Source organism: Homo sapiens, chromosome 6 (genome assembly GCF_000001405.40).
Source record: "Homo sapiens chromosome 6, GRCh38.p14 Primary Assembly".
Taxonomy (NCBI): domain Eukaryota; kingdom Metazoa; phylum Chordata; class Mammalia; order Primates; family Hominidae; genus Homo; species Homo sapiens.
The window spans coordinates 158,981,968-159,004,780 of NC_000006.12; the positions used below are offsets into that span (position 1 = coordinate 158,981,968).

The 22,813-nt window shown below is 41.4% G+C and overlaps 1 protein-coding gene and 1 long non-coding RNA gene across 8 annotated transcripts in view, besides 8 other annotated features; one reads left to right on the forward strand and one right to left on the reverse strand.

The window, feature by feature from the left end:
* RSPH3 (radial spoke head 3) overlaps positions 1-18,235 on the reverse strand; it is a 37,223-nt gene extending 18,988 nt beyond the window's left edge. For 2 of the 6 annotated variants that reach the window (XR_001743668.3, NM_031924.8), the window contains exons 1-5: positions 17,468-18,235; positions 11,872-11,959; positions 4,313-4,454; positions 1,695-1,840; positions 518-721 (exon numbers count right to left, since the gene is read on the reverse strand). Coding sequence is in view for 3 of the 6 variants with exons in the window: in NM_031924.8 (NP_114130.4) it covers positions 518-721; positions 1,695-1,840; positions 4,313-4,454; positions 11,872-11,959; positions 17,468-17,583 (696 nt within the window). In the remaining 3 variants the exon portion in view is untranslated. Of the gene's footprint in view, positions 1-517; positions 722-1,694; positions 1,841-4,312; positions 4,455-11,871; positions 11,960-17,467 lie in introns of those variants that run through there. The other 4 variants (NR_144434.1, XR_001743670.3, NM_001346418.1 and 1 more) reach the window with 4 other exon arrangements.
* Positions 16,978-17,949: an enhancer, noted in NCBI's record as "NANOG-H3K27ac-H3K4me1 hESC enhancer chr6:159419977-159420948 (GRCh37/hg19 assembly coordinates)". NCBI's record gives its function as "activates a minimal SCP1, AML or CMV promoter by ChIP-STARR-seq in primed H9 embryonic stem cells {active_cell/tissue: H9 hESC(primed)}" and the evidence as "EXISTENCE:reporter gene assay evidence [ECO:0000049][PMID:30033119]".
* Positions 17,434-17,583: an enhancer, noted in NCBI's record as "active region_25375". NCBI's record gives its function as "activates an Ori minimal core promoter by ATAC-STARR-seq in GM12878 lymphoblastoid cells {active_cell/tissue: GM12878}" and the evidence as "EXISTENCE:reporter gene assay evidence [ECO:0000049][PMID:35858748]".
* Positions 17,604-17,653: an enhancer, noted in NCBI's record as "active region_25376". NCBI's record gives its function as "activates an Ori minimal core promoter by ATAC-STARR-seq in GM12878 lymphoblastoid cells {active_cell/tissue: GM12878}" and the evidence as "EXISTENCE:reporter gene assay evidence [ECO:0000049][PMID:35858748]".
* Positions 17,684-17,753: an enhancer, noted in NCBI's record as "active region_25377". NCBI's record gives its function as "activates an Ori minimal core promoter by ATAC-STARR-seq in GM12878 lymphoblastoid cells {active_cell/tissue: GM12878}" and the evidence as "EXISTENCE:reporter gene assay evidence [ECO:0000049][PMID:35858748]".
* The window catches only part of TAGAP-AS1 (TAGAP antisense RNA 1), a 43,184-nt gene continuing 38,276 nt past the window's right edge, over positions 17,906-22,813 (forward strand). For both annotated transcript variants that reach the window (NR_183546.1, NR_183545.1), the window contains exon 1: positions 17,906-18,425. This is a non-coding gene — a long non-coding RNA (TAGAP antisense RNA 1). The remainder of the gene's footprint in view (positions 18,426-22,813) is intronic.
* Positions 17,924-18,083: an enhancer, noted in NCBI's record as "active region_25378". NCBI's record gives its function as "activates an Ori minimal core promoter by ATAC-STARR-seq in GM12878 lymphoblastoid cells {active_cell/tissue: GM12878}" and the evidence as "EXISTENCE:reporter gene assay evidence [ECO:0000049][PMID:35858748]".
* Positions 17,924-18,921: a biological region, named in NCBI's record as "NANOG-H3K27ac-H3K4me1 hESC enhancer GRCh37_chr6:159420949-159421920".
* Positions 17,950-18,921: an enhancer, noted in NCBI's record as "NANOG-H3K27ac-H3K4me1 hESC enhancer chr6:159420949-159421920 (GRCh37/hg19 assembly coordinates)". NCBI's record gives its function as "activates a minimal SCP1, AML or CMV promoter by ChIP-STARR-seq in primed H9 embryonic stem cells {active_cell/tissue: H9 hESC(primed)}" and the evidence as "EXISTENCE:reporter gene assay evidence [ECO:0000049][PMID:30033119]".
* Positions 18,494-18,543: an enhancer, noted in NCBI's record as "active region_25379". NCBI's record gives its function as "activates an Ori minimal core promoter by ATAC-STARR-seq in GM12878 lymphoblastoid cells {active_cell/tissue: GM12878}" and the evidence as "EXISTENCE:reporter gene assay evidence [ECO:0000049][PMID:35858748]".

Consider the following 22,813-nt stretch of genomic DNA (forward strand, 5'->3'; position numbering starts at 1 on the left):
AGAATCTGAAAAATATTCTACGAGAACCCAAATAGGTCTGGTGTGTCACCAAGGGTATAAAGAAGGGCCTGGTCACCGAGAAAAAGAATCAGAATTCTATCCAGATCCCCTGCTTTTTACCCACAGTCTCTCTCCAATACATTCACTTTTTCCTTCCTTCCATCTTTCTGCCACTGACTTATGGCAAACCAACATACATCTTTCTTTCTTTAGGACTCCTGATATTTAAGAGAGTCTTCCAACTGGCACACATGTAACTTAGGAACTTTCACTTCATTTAGAAACTTTTGGAAACTCAATTTAGGTATATTTATGTAAGCTGGAGTTTAAAAGATGTAATTCCGTCCATGAAAGATCTATGATCTATAGGAGAGACTTGAGCAAAAATACTATAGATCTTTTTCTAATATATTCCCAAAGATCTTTAGTTTTATGATATATCATCACATGTAATTTTGAACATAATATGCTAACTAGCCAAAAGACTGCCTAAGAAAGAAAATATAATTATATATACTTTTTCTTCTCGGTGTCGCCTCTCTTGCTCTTCAAGTCGTTGAACTTCAGCACGTTCACTATTCCGTAGTTCTTCATACTCACGCTGACTGGCCCGCAGGTTAGCCAGCTCTTCTTCTTCCATTACTTCCAGAAGAGACTGCTCAATTGTCTTCCCCACCAAAACTTCTAACACTGGTTTAACTTCAAGATCAAAGTCAAAGAGCTTAAACATACAAAATAAAGCAAACTTAAAATTTTAATTACGAATCAAATGCTCAACAAAAATATAATGAATAGCAATAACAAGATATTATTTATTAAGTGTCTCCTGTGTGCCAGACACTGTGCTGGTGCTTTATTCATGGTTTCTAATCCTCAAAATGAACAACATTTTGTTTACAGGCAAAAATCTGTTAAGTCAAAGTTATGAAAAAAACCTACGCATTCATCAAAATGAACCCTGACACTGAAGAGAAATATCCTCGTCTGTCTTATTCTTTGCCTTTTCTGTTTGATTTTTATTTATTTTTAAATAACAGTTTGATGAATGAAGGAACAAGAATGAGAGATATTTTGGTGATTCATTGCTAGGATTTATAGGCAAATATAACTTTCAGGTAGCTTCTGAAGATTTATTTTATTTCCCAATTTCAATGACAGTTCTTTCAAGTTCCCACAAGTGTTAAAACTCACTTAGGTCATTATGAACATAATCATTGCCTTCTCTTCTTCAATTTCATAAACAGGCCTATTTATGCATTCCACACTGATAGAAAAATGTAATTATTAAAATTTTTTTTTTAAATGAGAGAATATCTTTACAAAAGTTAAATAATCCAAAAGCAACTAACTGTGGAATTTTTTATACCAGGGATATTATTTTTCCCTATTTAGTACAAATCTATCTTATACATATATACATTAAGCAAGCATATAAACAAACAAAAATCAAATGTGGAAATATTCTAAAAATATTTCAAATGATTTTGTTTTTAATCAGCAAAGAAATCGGAACATGGTATGTTAAAACATTTCTGAGTACTATATGATAAAACCATTATAGATAATATCTGGAAAGAAATCCAAGAAGTAGAATCTGATTGTGAAGTGGTTCTTGCTCATATTAAGCATTATCTACACCTAACTTTACCTCATTTATAAAGATTATAGAGGGAAGCCCAAAGGATGTACTGTACCTCTCCTTCTAGTATTTGGGTGGCCACATCTTTGCCAGTTTTGGCAGGAATAAAGAGTGGTGTTGGTGGTCTGTCCAAAAATGCATCTGTTTGGCATTCCATATCAACTTCTATTATGCGATCAGCAATTTCTTCAAGGTATAATTCTAAGAAGAATATCATATATATCGAGTTTAAAATTCTGGTCTAAGGCCAGGCATGGTAGTTCATGCCCATAATCCCAGCACTTTGGGAGGCCGAGGAGGGTGCATTACTTGAAGCCAGGAGTTTGAGACCAGCCTGGCCAACATGGCGAAACCCCATCTCTACAAGAAATACAAAAATTAGCTGGGCGTGGTGGTGCGTGCCTGTGGTCCCAGCCACTCGGGAGGCTGAGGTGGGAGAACTGCTTGAACCTGGGAGGTGGAGGTTGCAGTGAGCCAATATCGTGTCACTGTACTACAGCCTGGGCAACACAGTGAGACTCTGTCTCAAAGAAAAAAAAATTCTGGTCTATTTCAAGCATATATGTGTATTTGAAATTTTAGCTCCTTCAAAACATATTTAAATGAATCAGAAAATAAGTATTAGAATAAAAGTGCTCAAATGGGCTTACCTCACATACTGAACTAAGAGTTTTTAAATATTTGGAAGACCATAGATAGAGTTAGGCTAGAACATTTACTGAATGTCTAGAAAGCACTGAGCTTTGTATTTGAAAATGGAACTAAAGAAGAACATGAGACCGTAGATGTGTATAAGATGCAGAGTACAACAGTGGATAAAAAGTCAATTATATATATATATATATATATATATATATATATATATATATTTGAGTCCTAAGATAGTAAACATATACAGATTTGAAAATTCCTGGATAGTTAAAAAAATCATGTACCAAGTCACCAGGTTATTTGATATTCCCTCTACACTACAGATTATAAACAGATGTATGAAAACAAATTTCATGTTAGGAGTAATTTATATGAGGCAGGGGTAATGTGGTATCAAGCAAAGAACATGAGCACTAGAGTCAGATGTTGGGCATAGGACTTGGCCAAGTCATGTCCTCTCTGGGCCTCAGTTTCTTCATTTGGAAAATGGGCTATAACTACCTGTCACACAGAATCTTTGTAATAATGAAGGAAATACACAGATAAAGGACCTGGTTCAGTCTCTGAGGAAATAGCCAAAAAAAGCTGGCTGCTATTATATCACTTAATATTCTGATGGTGTAAAGAAACATGAAAACTTAGCTCTTTGGTTAATGACAGCCATACACTCATTCTAGACTTGGCCTAAAGGCAGGGGTTAAAGCATGGAATGGTCCCTTTTGCCTTTACCATGCAGAAATAATCCCGATGGATCCACTCACCATCTTGGAAGGGTACAAAGTGAACCTGAAGTAGTGACAGTGGTCCAAGGAAAACACCAAGCACTGTCTGATGACCAAGATTCTGTCAACAACACAGCTAGACCCTATAGGACCAGGTAAGCCTCTACAGCTGAGCAGAGCGAGACAAGTACGCAAATCCTGGCACCTGTCTCAGGGGTGCCTGTGTGGCCCTGGGGAATGTGCACAGCGACAGAACCAGAGGACAGAAGAGGCTGGTGTGAGAGGCAGACGACTCAGATGGGAGTGGGTTTACTAATCTCAAAAGACAAACAAAAGGACAAAATAGAACTATATTGGTCTCCTTTCCTGTAAGTCCTAATGAAAAGAACAGTGATTCATGTTGGGCTATGAGAAAGGATCCCAGTTTGAGAACAGAATATGTGAAAACTGCTAAGAGAGAATTTGGTCACAAAATTATTTATTTATTTGTTGTTCAGGCTGAGTGCAGTGGTGTGATCATAGCTTACTGAGGCCTTGAAATCCTGGGCACATATGATCCTTCTGCCTTAGCCTACTGAGTAGCTGGAATTACAGGCGTGCACCACTATGCTCAACCAATTTTAAAATTTTTTTGTAGAGATGGCGTCTTTGGTCTCGAACTCCTGGGCTCAAGTGATCCTCCCGCCTTGCCTCCCAAAGTGTTGGGATTACAGATGTGAGCCACCGTGCTTGGCCAAAATTCTTCTTTTTGTTTTTTTTAAACCCCATCCCAGACTTCCAGCCATATCCACTATGATAATAGTATATAGTCTATGTATTTCTCTCTCTCTCTCTCTCTTTTTTTTTTTTTTGAGATGGACTTTTGCTTTTGTCACCCAGGCTGGAGTGCAATGGTGCGATCTCGGCTTACTGCAACCTCCGCCTCCCGGGTTCAAGCGATTCTCCTGTCTTAGCCTCCCGAGTAGCTGGGATTACAGGCGACCACCACCATGCCCAGCTAATTTTTGTATTTTTAGTAGAGATGGGGTATTTCACCACATTGGCCAGGCTGGTCTCGAACTCCTGACCTCAGGCGATCTGTCCGCCTCAGCCTCCCCAAGTGCTGAGATTACAGGCGTGAGCCAGCACACCCAGCCTAGTCTATGTATTTCTTTAATAAAGGAACTTCCCTACCATGTGATCGGGGAAGTATCAGAGAGCACAGGAGAGGCATAAGTAATACAAAGGCCAAATAAAAATGAACTGACATAGACAACTGAGTAAACCAAGAGGACACAATGCCAAGGGCACAGTCACACACCTGTTTGCACATCGACATGCTTTCTGCCTTCCACAGGTTCAGGTGTTTGTGGTCTGAGCTGCTCTTGGGCTTGTTTTCTGGCAAGAGCCCTCTTCCTAGCCTCCCGTTGTCTCTGGAGCTCTAGAGAATCAGGCCGTCCGAGCTAACAGTGATAGAAAATACTTCTAGAATTTAGAAAATATTTATTAAAGCATACAGGAACTGCCATTCCAAAAGCAATTCCTGAGTAGTATAAAGGCATTTGTCATAATGTTTCTTGATTATCAGTAACTTCATTAAAATTGTATTGGTACTTTGTCAGATAATTACAAAGATGTTTGACAAAGCATAAAAGCAACTTCAAAGTATGGCTGTTAACTGGAATATATGGGTGCACAATCCTATCTATATATTTAGAAAAATAATAAAAACATTTCCTTTTTAATTTATTCATTGACCTGCTGATCATTCAGGAACATGCTGTTTAATTTCTATGTATTTTTGTAGCTTCCAAGATTCCTCTTATTATTGATTTCTAGTTTTACTTCATTGTGGTCAGCAAAGATATTCGATATGATTTCTACTTTTTTGAATTTGTTCAGACATGTTTTGTGGCCTAAGATATGGTCTATTCTGAAGAATGATCCATGTGCTGAAGAAAAAAAATGTGTACTCTGCAGAAGATGGATAAAATGCTCTATAAATATCAGTTAGTCCTAATAGGTCTAGTGTGAAGTTTAACACCAATTTTCTTTTCTTTCTTTTTCTTTTTTTCCTGATTTTCTGTTTGGATTATCTATTCATTACTGAGAACAGGTTGTTAAAGTCTCCTAATATTAATGCAGTCTATCTCTCCCTTTAGATCTATTCATGTTTGCTTTATATAGTTGGGAGCTCTGGTGTTGGGTGCATGGATATTTATCATTGTTACATCCTCTGGCTGAATTGATCACTTTATTATTACAGAGTGACTGTGTTTCTTTTTACAGTCTTTGATTTGTAGTTTATCTGATGTAAGTATACTCATGCTCTTTTTTGGTTTCTAGTTGCATGGAAAATCTTTTTCCATCCCTTTACTTTCAGTCTATGTGTGTCTCTGTAGGTGAAGTGGGTTTCTTGAAGGAGCATATAGTTGGGTCTCGTTCCTTTATCCAATCAGCTCTTCTATGCCTTTTAATTGGAGAACCGAGTCCTCTTACATTCAGTGTTATTATTGATAAAGCAAGGACTTACTACTACCATTCTGTTGCTTATTTTCTGGTTGTTTTGTATCTCCTTCCTTCTTTATTGTCTTTCTTTGTGTTAAGTGACTTTATCTGGTAGTATATTTTAGTTTGTTGCTTTTAATTTTTGGTGAATCTATTACAGATTTTTGCATTGTGGTTACCATGAGGCTTATAAAAAACATAGATATAACAAGTTGTTTGCAGAGATGACAACTTATCTTAGATCACAAAGAACAGAAGCAAAGAAAAAAAGAAAAAAAATTCTACACTTTAACTCCATCCCCCCACATACTAACTTTTAGCTGTCTCATTGCACATATTTTTATATCACCTACCTCTTAACAGGTTGCTGCAGCTATTACTGTTTTTGATAGTTGTCTTTTGGGCCTCATAGTAGAATTATGAGTGGACCGCATACCACAGTTATAGTATGAGAGTATTCTAGGTTTGTCTATGTACTTAATTTAACCAGTAAGTTTCATACCTTCAAATGTTTTCTTTTGGCACATTAGTGTTTTTTGTTGCTGTTGTTCAGGCTGAAGAATTCCCTTCAACACTTCTTGTAAGATGGGCGTGGTGGTGCTGAATTTGCTCAGCTTTTATTTGTCTAGGAAAGACTATCTCTCCTTCATATTTGAGGGATAACTTTGTGGATACAATATTGTTACATGATTTTTTTTCTTTCAGCACTTTGAAAATATCACCCCAGTCCCTCCTGGTCATCTCACTCCCTCCTGGCCTGTACAGTTTCCACTGAGAAGTCTGCTGCCAGATGGATTGGAGCTCCTTCATGTATGCTATTTGCTTCTTTTCTCTTGCTGCTTTTGGGATTCTTTTTTTGTCCTTGACCTTTGAGAGCTTGATTATTCTATGGGGTATTATTTGGGGTGAATCTGTTTGGTATTCTCTGGCCTTCCTGTACCTGGATATCTATCTCTTTCTCAAGTTTTGGAAAGTTTTCTGTTAGTATTTCTTAAAACAAGCTTCCCACTCCTTGCTCTTGCTCAATTCCCTCTTGAACACAAGTAATTCTTAGCTTTGATCCTTTGGGGGTAATTTTCTATATCTTATAAGCAGTCTTTGTTTCTTCTCATTCTTTTTTCTCCTCAGACTGTGTATTTTCAAATAGTCTGTCTTTGTCTTCATGTTCACTGATCCTTTCCTCTGCTTGATTCATTCTGTTGTTGAAAGCCTCTAATAAATTTTTCAGTTCAACAAATGTATTACTCAGCTCCAAGATTTCTGCTTGATTTTTAAAAATTATTTCAATCTCTTTGTTACATTTCTCTAACAAATTTCTAAATTGCTTTTCTGTGTTATCTTAGACATCGCTGAATTTCCTTAAGACTGCTATTTTGAATTTTTGGTCAAAGAGCTCACATCCTGCCATCTCATTAGGGCCAGTTACTGATTCCTTGCTTTGTCCCTTTAAGTAGGTCATGGTTCTCTGTTTGCTGTTGTTTCATGTGGATGGACGTCTATGTCTCTGCACTGAAGGATTATTTAATCCAGTCTAATCTGTCTGGCTTGTTTTGCTTTTTATTGGATATATTTTCTTAGAGTTTTTTTTTATCTTTTTTGAGACAGAGTCTCGCTCTGTCACCCTGGCTGGAGTGCAGTGGTGTGATCTTGGCTCACTGCAACCTCTGCCTCCTGGGTTCAAGCGATTCTCCTGACTCAGCCTCTCAAGTAGCTGGGATTACAGGTGCCCGCCACCATGCCTGGCTAATTTTTGTATTTTTAGTAGACGTGGGGTTTCATCATATTGGTCAGGCTGGTCTCGAACTAATGACCTCAAGCGATCTGCCTGCCTTGGCCTCCCAAAGTGCTGGGATTACAGGCATGAGACACTGCGCCCCGACAGAGATCCTTTATCACTAGATTGCTGCCTCCTTTTTGGCTCTAGGTGGTGCCTTAAGGCCAGGTTCACCTGGCTCTAGTAAATGATCAGAGCACTGCCCATCCTGAATGGGGGAGGTCCCAAAGGGGATACACTGGTAGTGTGACTGGCTAGGGGTTTGTGCCCAGGGGACCGGTACAATGTTATCTCCTACAATGTGGTGCTGCTGAACAGCCACTCTGATTTGGTGTTTCCTTTGGTTGAGTTATACAGCAGAGTGTCCAGGGCTGGAGATGGTAGTCTCACCTCCCCATTTTGTTTTTGGCTGTACTCAGGGGTATTTCTCTCTTCAGGAACTCATGATGCTTCTGGTGGGTTGAATTTCCTGCCAGGAAACCCAACATGGTAGGGAAACTAGTTGTCCACCTTGATCTTTTTCCAGTGCAGAAATCACAAGTCAGAGATAAATCCTTGCGATGGTTAATACTGAGTGTCAACTTGATTGGATTGAAGGATACCAAGTACTGATCCTGGGTGTGTCTCAGGGTGTTGCCAAAAGAGACTATCATCTGAGTCAGTAGGCTGGGAAAGGCAGACCCACCCTTAATCGGGGTGGGCACAATCTAATCAACTGCCAGAGTGGCTAGAATATAAGCAGGCAGAAAAATGTGGAAAGAGAGACTGGCCTAGCCCCCCAGCCTACATCTTTCTCCTGTGCTGGATGCTTCCTGCCCTTGAACACTGAACTCCAAGTTCTTCAGTTTTGGAGCCTGGACTGGCTCTCCTTGCTCCTCAGCCTGCAGATGGCCTATTGTGGGACCTCGTGATTGTGTGACTTAATACTTAATAAACTCTCCTTTATATATATATATATCTATTCCATTTGTTCTGTCCCTCTAGAGAACCCTAATACAATCCTCCACACCCTTAGTGCCAGGCAGACTAGAAGGAGAGATACTGTAGACATGAACGTCTGATTCTCCTACCATCTCCTTGAAGCTTTTTCACTTTTCTGTAGCCCTGGGAACTGCTTCTTCCTTCAACTTGAGCTTTAGAATATTGCTGGTGGTAATCTTGGCACTGTACATTTGTTCTTGATTTTCTTTTGCAGGGGGAGTGAAGCCAGCCTGCTTCTATGCTGCCATTTTGGAACTCCTGAAAAATATTTTCACTGGATTAGAATTAGAGCTTGATAGTTCTTTAAGGACTTGAAAAATATTGTGCCACTTTCTTGTCTCCATGTTTTAGGTAAGAAATCCACTGCCATTTAAATCATTGTTCTCCTTTAGCTAACGTGTAATTTCTTTCTGGCTAATTTCAAAATGTTTTTTTTTTTAATTTTCAAAAGTTTGATCTTGATTTGTCTCGGGTAGATTTCTTTGGGTTTATCCTCTTGGGGGGTCACTTGGCTTCTTGGATCTGTAGGCCTTTTGCCAAATTTGTGGAATTTTCAAGCACGATTTCTTCAAATATTTTTCCATCTCATAGTTTTCCTCCTCTCCTTCTAGGATTCCAACAACATGAATGTAAATCTTTGTGATTGTTCTTCAGCTCTCTCAGCCTTTTTTTTTTTTTTTTGGTCTATTTTCTCTCTGTTCAGCTGGATAACTTCCGTTCTTCATTGATTCTTCTTCAAATTTACTGACTGTTTCCTATGCCATTTCCAATGTACTACTGAGTCCATCCAGTGAGTTTATTTTAGTTATTGTATTTTTCAGTTCTATAAGTTTCCATTTGGTTCACTTTTGTATCTTGTATTTCTTTGCTAAGATTTTTTTATTTGTTTCAAGAGTGTCTATAATTGCTCACTTTTCATTGAAACATTTTTGATTGTTGCTTTAAAATCCTTGTCAGGTAATTCCCACATCTGAGTCATCTTGGTTTTGTCATTTCTTGATTGTCTTTCCTCATGCAAGTTGTGACTGTCCTGATTCTTGTATGATGAATGATTTTTGTTTGTATCCTGGCTATTTTGGGTATTATATTTTAAGACTTTGGATTCTATTTAATTTTTCAGTAGGAAGTCACCCTTTTTGTTTTAGTGCACAAGCCTGAGTGGGGTTGGAAGTTCAACTTCCTGCTGGGCCCCACTGACACCACCTCAACAAAAGCAGAGGGTCAACTTGTACCAACACATTGGTGCCAGGTGGGGGTGGTAGTTCAGCTCCTTTCTAGGCTCTGTCGACACTGGTGGTGGTGTAGGGCGAGTGCAGCATTGACTAGCACTGCCTCATACCACCTTGTTACTACCAGATAGGACTGCAATTCAGCTACCCCACTGGGTTTGCTGGCACCACCCCAGAAAGAGTGGGGCACTGACTTGTGCCATCTCCTACTACCTCATTGGTACTGGGTGAAGGTGACAGTTCAGCTTCCTGCTCCACCCTTGTTGATACCACCTCAGTGGGAGAAGCAGGGAACCCCTGGAGGTTCTAATGCAGGAGATCCAGGATAGGGCTGAAGTGTATATACATACATACATATATATATGTTTATTAAGTTAACCATTGCTTCAGACTAATAGATGTTCCCCAACTTATGTGGTTTATGATTTTTCAGCTTTATGATGATACAAAAGTATCCACAGAAAATGTACTTTGAATACTCATACAACCATTCTATTTTTCACTTTAATATTTCATAAATTATATGAGATATTCAGTACTTTATTATAAAATAGGCTTTGTGTTAGATGATTTTTCCCAACTGTAGGCTAATGAGCACTGTTTTTTTTTTTTTTTTTTTTGTAGACAGGGTCTCATTCTGGGAACATACCTTAGGTGGGTTCTTCACATCCCTCATTTGACATTCAACAACATTCTCTCTAACGTGGATTTGAATGCTATTATTCATCTTTAACTTCTTTTTAATCACGTATTTCTTGATACTCCCTGCCTCAGACTCCGATTCAGGGCACACTGAGCTTCCCTCAATTCCTTAACCTTCTAGGTTGTATTTTTGTTTTTGTTTTTTGAGACAGGGTTTCCCTCTGTCACCCAGGCTGGAGTGCAGTGGTGTGATCACAGCTCACTGCAGCCTTGTCCTCCTGGGCTCAATCAATCCTTCTGCCTCAGCCTCCCAAGTAGCTGGGACTACAGGGGCGTGCCACCATGCCCAGCTAATTTTTGTGGGGTTTTTTTTTTTTTTTTTTGTAGAGACAGGGTTACCCACATTGCCCAGGCTGGTCTCAAGCGCCTGGGCTCAAGTGATCTGCCCACCTTGGCCTCCCAAACTGCTAGGATTACAGGCGTGAGCCACCACGCCTGGCCTCTGAGCATATTTAAGGTAGGCTATGCTATGTTATGGTGTTCGGCAGGTTTGGTGTTTTAAATTCATTTTCAGTGTTCAGTGGGTTTATTGGGACGTAACCTCATCCTAAGTGGAGGAGCATCTCTATCACCATCTTGTATTAGGCACTTACATGTCATATACTGTTTATGGATTCATCTGTATTTCATTTCTGTGCCAAGAACTCACCACCCTTAATATCATACCATGTCTTACTCATCTCTGTATCCTAGGTACCCAGAACAGGACCTAAAACTCAATAAATATTTGTTGAGTGAATTAAAGAAGCAGAATTCAGACTTTTTGATTAAATAATGATAATTGTATTAGAGTATGAGATAATCTAAACAAATCTAGATGCAATAGACAAGTGCCACTCAAAATGTGGGCCTCTGGCTAGTGTCTATAAACTATTTGAACTGGTCTGTAACAATTTAAGTACAGAAATTGAGAGTAAAGGTTTAGAAATGTTTAGAATGGCAGAGTTCTGTTGAATCGAATGAAAAATTGGGGCTTTTTTTTTTGAGATGTAGTCTCACTCTGTCGCCAGACTGGAGTGCAGTGGTGCGATCTCGGCTCACTGCAACTTCTGCCTCCTGGGTTCAAGCAATTCTCCTGCCTCAGCCTCCCGGGTAGCTGGGACTACAGGCGAGCGCCACCACACCCAGCTAATTTTTGTACTTTTAGTAGAGACGGGGTTTCACCATGTTGGCCAGAATGGTCTTGATCTCCTGACCTCGTGAGCTGCCCGCCTTGGCCTCCCAAAGTGCTGGGATTACAGGCGTGAGCCACCGCGCCCGGCCAACTGGGGCTTGCTTTTTTTTTTTTTTTTTTTAGCTAATTCTTTTTTTGTGGTAAAACACACATAATGTAAAATTTATCACCTTAACCATTTTTAAGTATAAAATTCAGTGGTATTAATTACATTCACATTGTTCTATCACTGTCACCATCCTCTATCTCCGGAACTCTTTTCACCTTGCAAAACTGAAACTCTACACTCATTAAACAATAACTCCCTCCCTGGTCCCCTCATCCCCCAGCTCCTGGAAACTGTCACTGGGCTTCTATTTGTATGTCTTTTTAAAAATTTCATTTTTATAGTAATTCATCTTTATTTTATGAATGTTTTAGTCTGCAACGGATTAGAAATTAACACCAAGAAACTGATCCTTCCCCATAGATAATGTGAGAACACGGTGTTAGACTATTCAAACTGAACTTACCAGTGGCCCTGTCTGGAGTGCATAAGTGTTACCTCGAATTACCCTTCTGTCATACATTATGTTTCCATAATGCATAGGTTCTTCATCTCTGTAAAACAGAAAATTCTGTATAACCACTTTAATAGAGTATTGGTATCTATGAAGTAACTCATTTTCAATAGGATTTAGACTAAAATCAATATATTTTAAGAAAATAAATTTCTGTTTTAGTGTGGTCCATAAAATAAGGAGGTAAATGGATACAATTTATGTAATGCTTACTATATGCCAGGTCCTTCATGTACATTATTTTATTTATTATTCACAATAAGCTGCAAGTTGGGAATTATGATTCCTTTTTCAGAAGGGGAAACAGACTCAGGAATCTGCCAAAGGTCACCTTGCTAGTAAGTGGCAGGACTAGATTTAGGTTGTAAATCTGTATGACTTTAGGAAATATGAAAATGTCCCATTTGAAAAGGAGCCTTCTTTAAAGTACTGAAAAAAGCTTGATTCAAAGATTGAAAAGTTACACTAATAAAAAAATGAGGCTTAAAAATTAAGTCAATTTTCTCATTGTTCTTTAAACCCAAATATATTTTTTAAAGTTATTGTTGAAAATGTTAATACTATTTTCCAGCCTGGCCAACATGGTGAAACGCTGTCTCTACTAAAAATACAAAATTAGCCAGGCCTGGTGGCCTGCACCTGTAATCCCAGCTGCTCTGGAGCCTGAGGCATGATAATGGTTTCAGCCCAGGAGGCAGAGGTTGCTGTGAGCTGAGATTGGGCTACTGAACTCCAGCCTAGGAGACAGAGAAAGACTTTGTCTCAAAAAATAAATAAATAAATAAGAAATAAAATAAAATATTAATTTCAGTGATTGAATGATTGCTAGTAAAAAATACAAAAACACAGTTGATATTTCCATTCAAAGTTATTTCAATTATATATTGCTTATAGCTAAGACACTAAACATTGCCCTACACCAATAACAGTACTCTATGGGAAATGATTCTGAGTGGGGTATAAGTTGCTTTTTTTTCATATATTGAAGCCACTATTGAACATTCTAACAAGTTTCATTTCTTGTATTAATTGATCTCTGGGCAGTGTTAAGCCCAGCTGGCCACTCCTTCACTGAAGCATTCTCTTTCCTAGGCCTCTGTGTTACCACTATAATCTTCTGATTGTTTTTCTACTACTTCTCTAACACCTTTTTCTTAGCCTTTGTTTGCAGTTCCTCCCATACTGGAGGATTTCCTCCGGGCTCAGCCTTCTCTTATCCTTAGTTGACCTCATCCATCTTCAAGACCTCAATTATAATCCATATACCCAAAACTCTCAATTTTTATTTTTAGCTGAGAACTCTTCTCTCAACTCTAGGCATATCCAGTTACCCAATGACATCTCACTATGTTACCTGGAAGGCAACCTCAGAATTGAACTAATTATCACTCTCCCATTCCAACTCATTACTTCTTCAGTGTTTCCTATTTCATTAAATGGTACTACTAACTACATAGTTGGCTTAAAATAACGCATTTATTCTCAGAATTCTGCAATTTAGATGTCCAAAATGGGTGTCAACAGGACTGCACTCCTCCTGGAGGTCCTGGGGAGAATGTTTCTTTGCCTTTTCCAGCCTCTAGAGACTGCCCTCATTCCGTGGCTTGTGGTCGCCTTCCAGTCAGCATTTGTGTGATTCTGACCTTTGCTTCTAATGACACATCTCCTTCTATGACTCAGACTCCTGTGCCTTCTTCTTTCACTTTATTTTATTTTTATTTTTTTTGAGACAGAGTCTCACTCTGTCACCCAGGCTGGACTGCAGAGGTGCAATCTTGGCTCACTGCAAGCTCCGCCTCCTGGGTTCATGCCATTCTCCTGCCTCAGCCTCCCGAGTAGCTGGGACTACAGGCGCCCGCCACCACGCCCGGCTCATTTTTTTTTGTATTTTTTTAGTAGAGACGGGGTTTCACCGTGTTAGCCAGGATGGTCTGGATCTCCTGACCTCGTGATCCGCCCACCTTAGCCTCCCAAAGTACCGGGATTACAGGCGTGAGCCACCGTGCCCATCCTTCTTCTTTTACTTTTAAGGCCCCACTGTGATTCTACTGGGCCCACCTGGATAAGCCAGGCTAATTTCCCATCTCAAGATCTCCCATCTCAAGATCCTTAATGTAATCACATCTCAAAGTCCCTTTTACCACATAACATGTTCACAGGTTCTGGGGACTAGGAAGAGGACATCTTTGGGGAATCATTATTCTGCCCTCTACGGTGATTTTAAACCTTATTTGACCTGAGTAAAAATAAAAATAAAAAAAAGGTATGTTCTAAGGTTTTAATTCATTTGCATTAAAAATGTTATTTTATTGGAAGGGTTATATATCCTTTACCAAAGGATTTGTAAAATGAGGGAATGTCATTATCACAATTGTCTTTTCACACATGCCTAAAGGTGAATTTAATGGCATTTATGATCACCCAACTACCAAGAAATACATAAAAGATGTATTACATTCTCTTGTTTGTAAATGAGAAGACTAGTATTCAAATGTTCTCTTTCAGCTTTATAATCCTATGAAAAGGTGGAAGTTCTTGATTCACATTAGACTTGTGTTAAATTTCTAGACCCTTTCAAAGGAAAAATCAGATACTCCCATTTCTGTATTTGTGTAACTGACTTCTCATACCTAAGTAAAACTTCACAGCTTTCCAATTAAGTTTCATTTTTTGGTTTCAGCCCAGTTATATATACCCAATCAAGATAATTTAGAACCTTGACTCCCTTCAGTCATAAGTTAGTTATCCATTCCAGCCATGTGTCATCTGAAAAACTGAAGATTTATCCAGTTCAACATAAAATTTTGAACATGAAAGAACTAAACGACATTCTAGGATAGAGACAGATTGACACAAAAGCATACTCTTTTTGGATATGGTCATTTAGTTACTCACCAGCAAGTACTAAAAGTACTGCTGTGGTCTGGATATGGTTTGTCGTCTCCACTAAAACTCACATGGAAATTTAATTTCCAATATGGCAGTGTTGGGAAGTGGGGCCTAGTGGGAGGTGTTTGGAACATGGGTGGATCCCTCATGAATGGCTTGGCACCAGTTCTCGCAGTAGTGAGGGAACTCTTACTCTCAAGAGACTGGATTAAGTTCTCACAGGACTAGTTCCAGAGACAGCAAGTTGCTACAAAATGAGGTACTTCCTCCTGTTTGGCCACTTCCCACGGATCTGCTTCCCCTTTGACCTTCTCCATCATGTTATGAAACAACAAGAAAAGCCCTCACTAGAAGGCAAGCAGATGCCAGCACCATGCTCTTGTACTTCTCAGTCTGCAGAGCTGTGAGCTAAATAGATCTCTTTATAGACTATCCAGTTTCAGATACTCTGTTAGAGCAACATAAGATGGATTAAGACAAGTACTCTCCTGAACACTTTTTTTTTTTTTTTTTTGAGACAGAGTTTCGCTTTGTCGCCCAGGCTGGAGTGCAGTGGCGTGATCTTGGCTCACTGCAACCTCCGCCTTCTGGGTTTAAGTGATCCTCCTGCGTCAGCCTCCCAAGTACCTGGGATTACAGGTACATGCCACCATGCCCGGCTACTCTCCTGAACACTTAAAAAATATTTTATTCATAAGGATATCAGAGGAGAATATTATCCTTATCCATAAGCAAATTATGGATAAAATATCAGTATTTTATCCATTAGGATATCAATGATTATGATTTGTAAGATAATACTTCCTCAAAATTGAGATTTTTCTGTCTTGTGCATTACTCAGATATACTAATAAACTAATCAATAGATTACTTCAATATACTAATCAACTATCAAAAAAGTTGTTCCTAATGAACCACCATTGATTCTTGTTTCTAATCTGTTGGTCTGATTGGATAGTAATGATTTGTAAGCAACCACTTAAAGGCACCAGAAAGTGTTTTTGGAAGGATTAGAAAATTTTAAAATTGAATCCTTTTCTAATATAAATGATCACTCTTCAAATTTAAATTTTCTATTTTAGTTTTCTTACAGTGATAGACATCTCTTATAGAAAAAGAATTTGTTAGAACAAGATAATTATGAATTTAGAAAGAGCGTTTGAAATAAGCATCAATAATTACATTGTTGATGTTCAATCATCAGTTTGACAATTCGTATTAAGTGCTTACTATGTACCAGGCATTGTACTAGGTGAACAAAAGATGCAAAAGTTCCTGCATCCATGGAGCTTGCATTCCTATAAAGTTCTGCTGAATTCAACATTTGAGGCTTATGGAAAGAACTTTAGAGAACCGTTTAACTTTAAGAGAACTTTAAGAGTTTATGTTTTTTTTGCTGGGTGTGGTGGCTCAGGCCTGTAATCCCAGCATTTTGGGAGGCCGAGGCGGGCGGATCATGAGGTCAGGAGATCGAGAGTATCCTGGCTAACATGGTGAAACCCCGTCTCTACTAAAAAAATACAAAAAAAAAAAAAAAAAAAAAAAGAGCCGGGCGTGGTGGCGGGCGCCTGTAGTCCCAGCTACTTGGGAGGCTGAGGCAGGAGAATGGCGTGAACCCGGGAGGTGGAGGTTGCAGTGAGCCGAGATTGTGCCACTGCACTCCAGCCTGGGCGACAGAGCGAGACTCCGTCTCAAAAAAAAAAAAAGAAAAAAAAAAAGGCTTATGTTTTGTTTTTTTTCTTTCCTATGTATGTTTGAATATTTGCAACTGTTCATGGATGTAAAAACACAAACTGCCGTCCGGGCGCGGTGGCTCACGCTTGTAATCCCAGCACTTTGGGAGGCCGAGGCGGGCGGATCACTTGAGGCCAAGAGTTTGAGACCAGCCTGGCCAACGTGGCAAAACCCTGTCTCTACTAAAAATACAAAGATTAGCCGGGGGTGGTGGAGGGCGCCTCTAGTCCCAGCTACTTGGGAGGCTGAGGCAGGAGAATCGTTTGATCGGGGAGGAGTGGGGGAGGGGGGCGGAGGTTGCAGTGAGCGGAGATCGCGTCATTGCAGTCCAGCCTGGGCGACAAGAGCGAAACTCCGTCTCAAAACAACAACAGCAACCACCACCACCACCACCACCACCACCACAAAAAACCAATCTGTGGTCCTGCATGGAAGAATAATCTTACTCCTGCTCAAAGCCTGCCGAAGAGATTTACTCGGCTCCCATTTTGGATATGCTACTGTTGGATATCTTTGCACCGCGGTCTCCTCATCTGCATAATGGAGTTATAAAATCAACTTCACAGCACTGTGGATTAACTAAGAAAACGTATTTGAATGCCCCCCGTAAGGTGCTCAGCACGTAGTTGGCCCTCAATACACACTGGTACAATTCAAACTTTGTGAAATGAGCCAATTCGTGTACATGTTAAGGACCACGGCAGCAACTCATATCACTAAAAGTTAACTGATGCCCAACCCATGCCCCTTCCTGCTTCACTCCTCCACACCACGGGAGATTCCTTAGGGCAGAACTTTTATTTCGGCAGAGTGCAGCCAAGGGAAGACAGCATAAGCAGCTTTTTTGCCAGGGCGAAGGGGCCAGACCCCGGCCTGGGGATGGGGTGCAAGTATGGACCACACAGGGGCTGGCTTGGTCACTCACGGCTGCGTCAGGCTGTCCCGGTAACGGCTGCGCTGGCAGGGCAGTGCTCGGGGCCGGCTGGTGTAGGTGTAGGTGCTCGGGGCCCGAGAGGTGCGATCAGTCAGCGCTGAGGCCATGTCCGGGGGCTGACTGCCTCGCTTTCGGTGGAGCTTGGCTTTGAAGCAGGTGGGCGCTAAGGTGTTGTGGGACCCGGAGAGATGTAAGTAGTGCCAAGGGCAAGGATTCCGCGACGCGAGGAGAGGCGACAACAAGGGAGGCGGGCGGGACGGGAGGTTACCAGCGCAGGAGGTGGGAGCTATACTGGGCTCGCTCCCAGCACCACAGAGACCAGCTGCGGGGGCCGCATCGGTTGCCCAGCAACCCAGGGTTCTGTCTGGGGGCGGGAACTCCGGGCAGTTCCGGTCCCCAGGTTTCCCGGGAAGGACTGCGGCACAAGGGACTTCCGGCTCTTGACTCCGCCCAGCCGCGCCACCCAGGTAGGTGCGCCTGCGCTTTGCGAGGTTCCTGGCTAGGGAGGCGGCCTTGGCTGGCTTGACCGTCATCCTTGAGGCCTGCGGGGCAACGGTGGCTGTCCTTGGCCCGGCTTTGGAATGTGGCTTTGCAGGGCTGGTGTTGGCGCCATTCTCGCAGGCCCACGTGCTCCTGCTCTTCCAGGGTGTCCTCGGCTGTTTCTCCTGCCGCGGCGCAGCAGCGCTCCCAGGCTGCCCCCGCGATAACACGCCCCTGGCAGCCAGGCTCCCAGCTCTGTTACGTGCCCGGGCGGGGAAGAGCTTCCTGGTGTCTCCCGGCTCCTGCCCTTCTCCCGCCCCAGGGGCGGGCTGCCGCCGCCCTCTGCAGCTGAGTCAGTGCAGTTCCTCACCTACCTTCTCTGCTCACCGCTGTGTGCTAGCAATCGGAGGACCCTTGGCACACGGAGCGACAGGGGCCTCCCCCACAGACACCTCATTTTGGGAAAGAAGTGAGCAATTTATTGAGTCTTAAAAAATACAAAGGCATAGTTCCCCTTAATCTATCAGGCTTCCAGCTCTAAAGAATGTCTCTAGTATTGCGGGGTGGGGCTGCGCTTAAAAACGCAGACGCTTTGGTTTTAGTACCAGCAACGTTAAAAATCTTCTATCTTGTATGAGTGAATGTGTATCCCTTGTGATCAGTTATTTGCATTTGCAGTTACACCTTCATTCAGCTAATTGCTGTCTTGATTTGAATCCAGGTTCTAGAATGTACTAGCTCCGAAACCTCAGGCAAGTTAAATGTTTTTGTGCTTCATTTTCCTAATCCACAAAGTGGCAATAGAAGAATTTATCTCTTTAGGTTTTGTCTTGAGGATTAAAACCGTTAATACTTAGAGCTGTGCCTGGTAAATGGCAAGCCTTTATATTAAGATCTGGACCGTTCTGTGCTTTGAAGTGTATGACCTAAAGCAGATGTAGGCATTCTATAAGTAACACTAGCATAAAGGTGTATGGTAAATTCTAGAGGTGAAAACACTCCCAACATATTTTAGGTCTGATCATTTAATTTTGAGGTAATTTCTGAAAGGGCTAGAGGAGAAAGTGACATTTAAGTTGTGTTTGATAAATGATAGTATTTTAACTGGCCAGCCTCTTGGGGGAAGTGCATTCGGAATGGCTTGATCAAAGGCTCAAGAAGCCCAAGGTGCATTTGGAAAACTGTAAGCAAGGTTTGTGTAGATGAGTTGTAGAAATATATATAGACAGGCTGACACCACATCGTGGAAACAGTAAACACTAGCATATTAATTAGAATATTTTTTCCCTCAAGTAACAAAAAACCAATTCCAAGTGGCTGAAATAATAAGGAATTCATTATTTTACACTCCCCAGGTTGGTTAACCTGGAGGGTAACTTGGGGGCTCAGCACATTATCAACAACACGTTTTTTCCCCTACCTTTCCACTCTGTCACCTGGGTTGTTGGCTTCAACAAAGTAGTAATAGAAGTATCTGCTCTTTTGTCTTTATTGGAAGAGCAAAACCCCCTCGTAAACTCCCAACTGACCAGAATTACATCATATTGATTTAAGCTTAGGATCTATATAAGACCACCATATTTGGATTAGACCAGGTAACCGGTCTTTCTAGGCCTCCAAGAAACACTTGGCCAGGGAGGAGGAGAACAAATTCTGTTAGGAGGATGTTGGGGCAGAATTGAGTGGGTATTAAGTGGGTAAACAATAGTGCTATACCAGCCACAGTGGGCTTTATAAAGAAATTGATAGCCACTATAGGTTCTTGTACAAGTTTCTTTCTTTTTTTTTTTTTTTAGATGGAGTCTCGCTCTGTGGCCAGGCTGGAGTGCAGTGGCGCGATCTTGGCTCACTGCAACCTCCGCCTCCCCGGTTCAAGTGGTTCTCCTGCCTCAGCCTCCTGAGTAGCTGGGACTACAGGCGTGTGCCACCCCGTCCAGCTAATTTCTGTATTTTTAGTAGAGGCGGGGTTTCACCATGTTGGCCAGGATGGTCTTGTTCTCTTGACCTGGTGATCCGCCCTCCTCAGCCTCCCAAAGTGTTGGGATTACAGGCGTGAGCCACTGTGCCTGGCCTGTACAAGTTTTTATCCACAGCCTGTTTCTCTTCTTGTACTTTCTCCCAGGGCAGTCCCATTTCACGTCTGTAATTTCTAGTACCACCTATATACTCAGGGTAGCAAAGGATGTATCTCTAACCTAGACTTCTCCCTCAGGTGACAGTCCTGGATATCTGACTATTTTGTGGACAACTCTTGGATGATCTGAAACTGAAAGATTCATTCCACAAATAGTTATGTGTATCTAGTATGTGCCAAGCATTGTTGTTTTCTTGTCCCTCGTCCCCACTCCCCTGGTGTTAGTGGGGATATAGCAGTGAAAAACAAAAACAAACAACAGATTAAAAGTCCTGCCTTGACAGAATTTATATTCTAGTGGAGGAGTCATACAAACAAGAAAAGTGAGTACATTATGGGTGTTACATAATTATAATAGCTAATTCGAAATAAAGCAGGAAATAAGGCTAGGTGCTAGGGGCATGGGAGACCTATCAATTTTATAGTGGTCAGAGAAGGCTTCATTGAGAAGGTGACATTTGAGTAAAGACTTGAAGGAGGTGAAGAAATGAAACTTGAGACTTGTGACTAATTGTCACAGCATTCCAGGTCAAGGAAGCAGCCAATTCCTCGTTCTAAGGCAGGAAGTCGTGTTGGGGATGGCAGTAAGAGTGAGTGGAGCAGAGTGAGCACAAGGAGGAGCATTCGGAGATGAAGTCAGAGGCTGGGCCGTGCGCCCTGTTGTAGGTCAGTGAAAGGACTTTAGGTTTTACTCTAGGGTTAAAAGTCCCTAAAGGGTTTTGAGTAGAAGCTTGACATAGTTTGATTAAAAAAATTTGTTTTTTCTAGTTGTTTGGTTGAGAATAGACTGAAGTGGGGCAAAGGCAGAAGCAGAGAGACCAGATAGGAAGCTGCTCCCAATAAGGCTGGTGAGAGGGTGGCTTGGATCTGGTGTAGGTGTGGTGCTCGGGCCCGAGAGATGCAGTGAGTCAGTGCCGAGGCCATGTCGGGGGACAGACTGCCTTGCTTTCAGTGGAGCTTGGTTCTGGATCTGGGACAAAAGTGGTGGGAAGATCCCAGCTCAATTTTGAAGGTAGAACAGATTGGACGTGACGTGGTGCACGAGAGAAAGAAAGGCAAAAGAGATGAACCTAAGGTTTCTGATTAAATGTTAGACATTGTGTAGGAAAAAAATCACATAGAGGCTCTGGCAAAAAAAAAAAAACTAAATAAATAAATAAAAAATAAATAAATAAATTGCATAGAGACTGTGGCTGATGTTGTGTTTCTCCAGAAAGGATTTAATTTTATTCTGGCAAGCAATTAGAGTAGGAACGGATGACTTTTTTTTTTTTTTTTTTTGAGGCGGAGTTTTGCTCTTGTTGCCCAGGCTGGAGTACAATGGCACTGTCTTGGCTCACTGTGGCCTCCACCTCCCGGGTTCAAGCAATTCTCCTGTCTCACCTCCCAGGTAGCTGGGATTACAGGTGTGCACCACCATGCCCGGCCAATTTTGTATTTTTTTAGTAGAGACTGGGTTTCACCATGTTGATCAGGCTGGTCTCGAACTCCTGACCTCAAGTGATCCACCTGCATTGGCCTCCTAAAGTACTGGGATTACAGGTGTGAGCCCCTGCGCCTGGCCTCAGATGACCTTTAATTAGGGATTCAGACTTTGTGAGGGCTGATCATTTTCTAGTTTGGCCTTATCCCAGAGCTAGGCCTTTCTATTCTTTCTCAACATGAACATCTGTGGTATTTAACAGGTCCCCATCTTTGGGTGACCTTGAACTCCAATTTTTGTACTCCCAGCTCTGTGAGACTGTTGAAATGTACACTTAGCATTTTAGCTATTTAGCAACTGTTTGGTTTCTTGATTTCCAGTGCCCTTACAGCTTAGAATTCAGCAAATGCCTCAAGGATAAAAGCCAAACTAAATGTCAGACTGGCTTCTCTATGATCCTCCTTTCTTTGGGATCTGTCCCTTCAAGTCCTATCCGCAGTTTTCAACTCCAATTTTTTATCTCCCCGTATCTGAAAGGGCCCTGATACCTCCAGGTCACTGCTTTCTGCTCGCCATAAATGCCCTGCACAAAACTCAGCAAATGACCCAATCAGAAAAAGCAATGGAGAAGTTCTGTATCACTTTATGCATCTGTCTTCTGGGATCCCAGTCTCTCATGTCTTGACCATCTTGGTTGCTCTCCAGTGTCTTCAAACAGCCTGTGTAGTTTTTGTTATGTGTGCTTTTTTAAATGTTCAGCTCTTGTGCTTATTCCCATGAGAGGACTGGTTTAATTTAAACTATTCAATTACAGCTAGAGGCCATGATAAAGTTGTTGACTAGAGTATCTGGAAGAATGGAGTTGCCATTTAGTGATAGAGGGAACGCTGGGGAGGATCCATTATTGGAGTGAGCATTAGCAGCTTGGTCTGGGGCACATCAAGCTTGGAAGGCATGTTAGTCATCCAAGTGGAGATGTTGAGTAGACAGTTGGACATGGGAGTCTAGAGTTTCAGGAGATTGGTCTGGGCTACAGAAGTGGATTTTTGAATCAACAGCCATGAGACTTGATAAGATTACCAAGGGAGTGTAGAGAGATAAGGCCTTGAGTGTTCCAATATTTAGAGTTTGGAAAGATGAGGAATAATCAGCAAAGGAGACTGCAAAAGAGGGCCAACAAAATGGTAGAAAATGCGGAAAGCCTGGTCACCTGGGAGTTAAGTAATGAAAGTGTTTCAAGGAGAAAGTAATCAGCTGTATCTAATGCTATACATGTGCTAAGCAAGATAAGAACATTGGA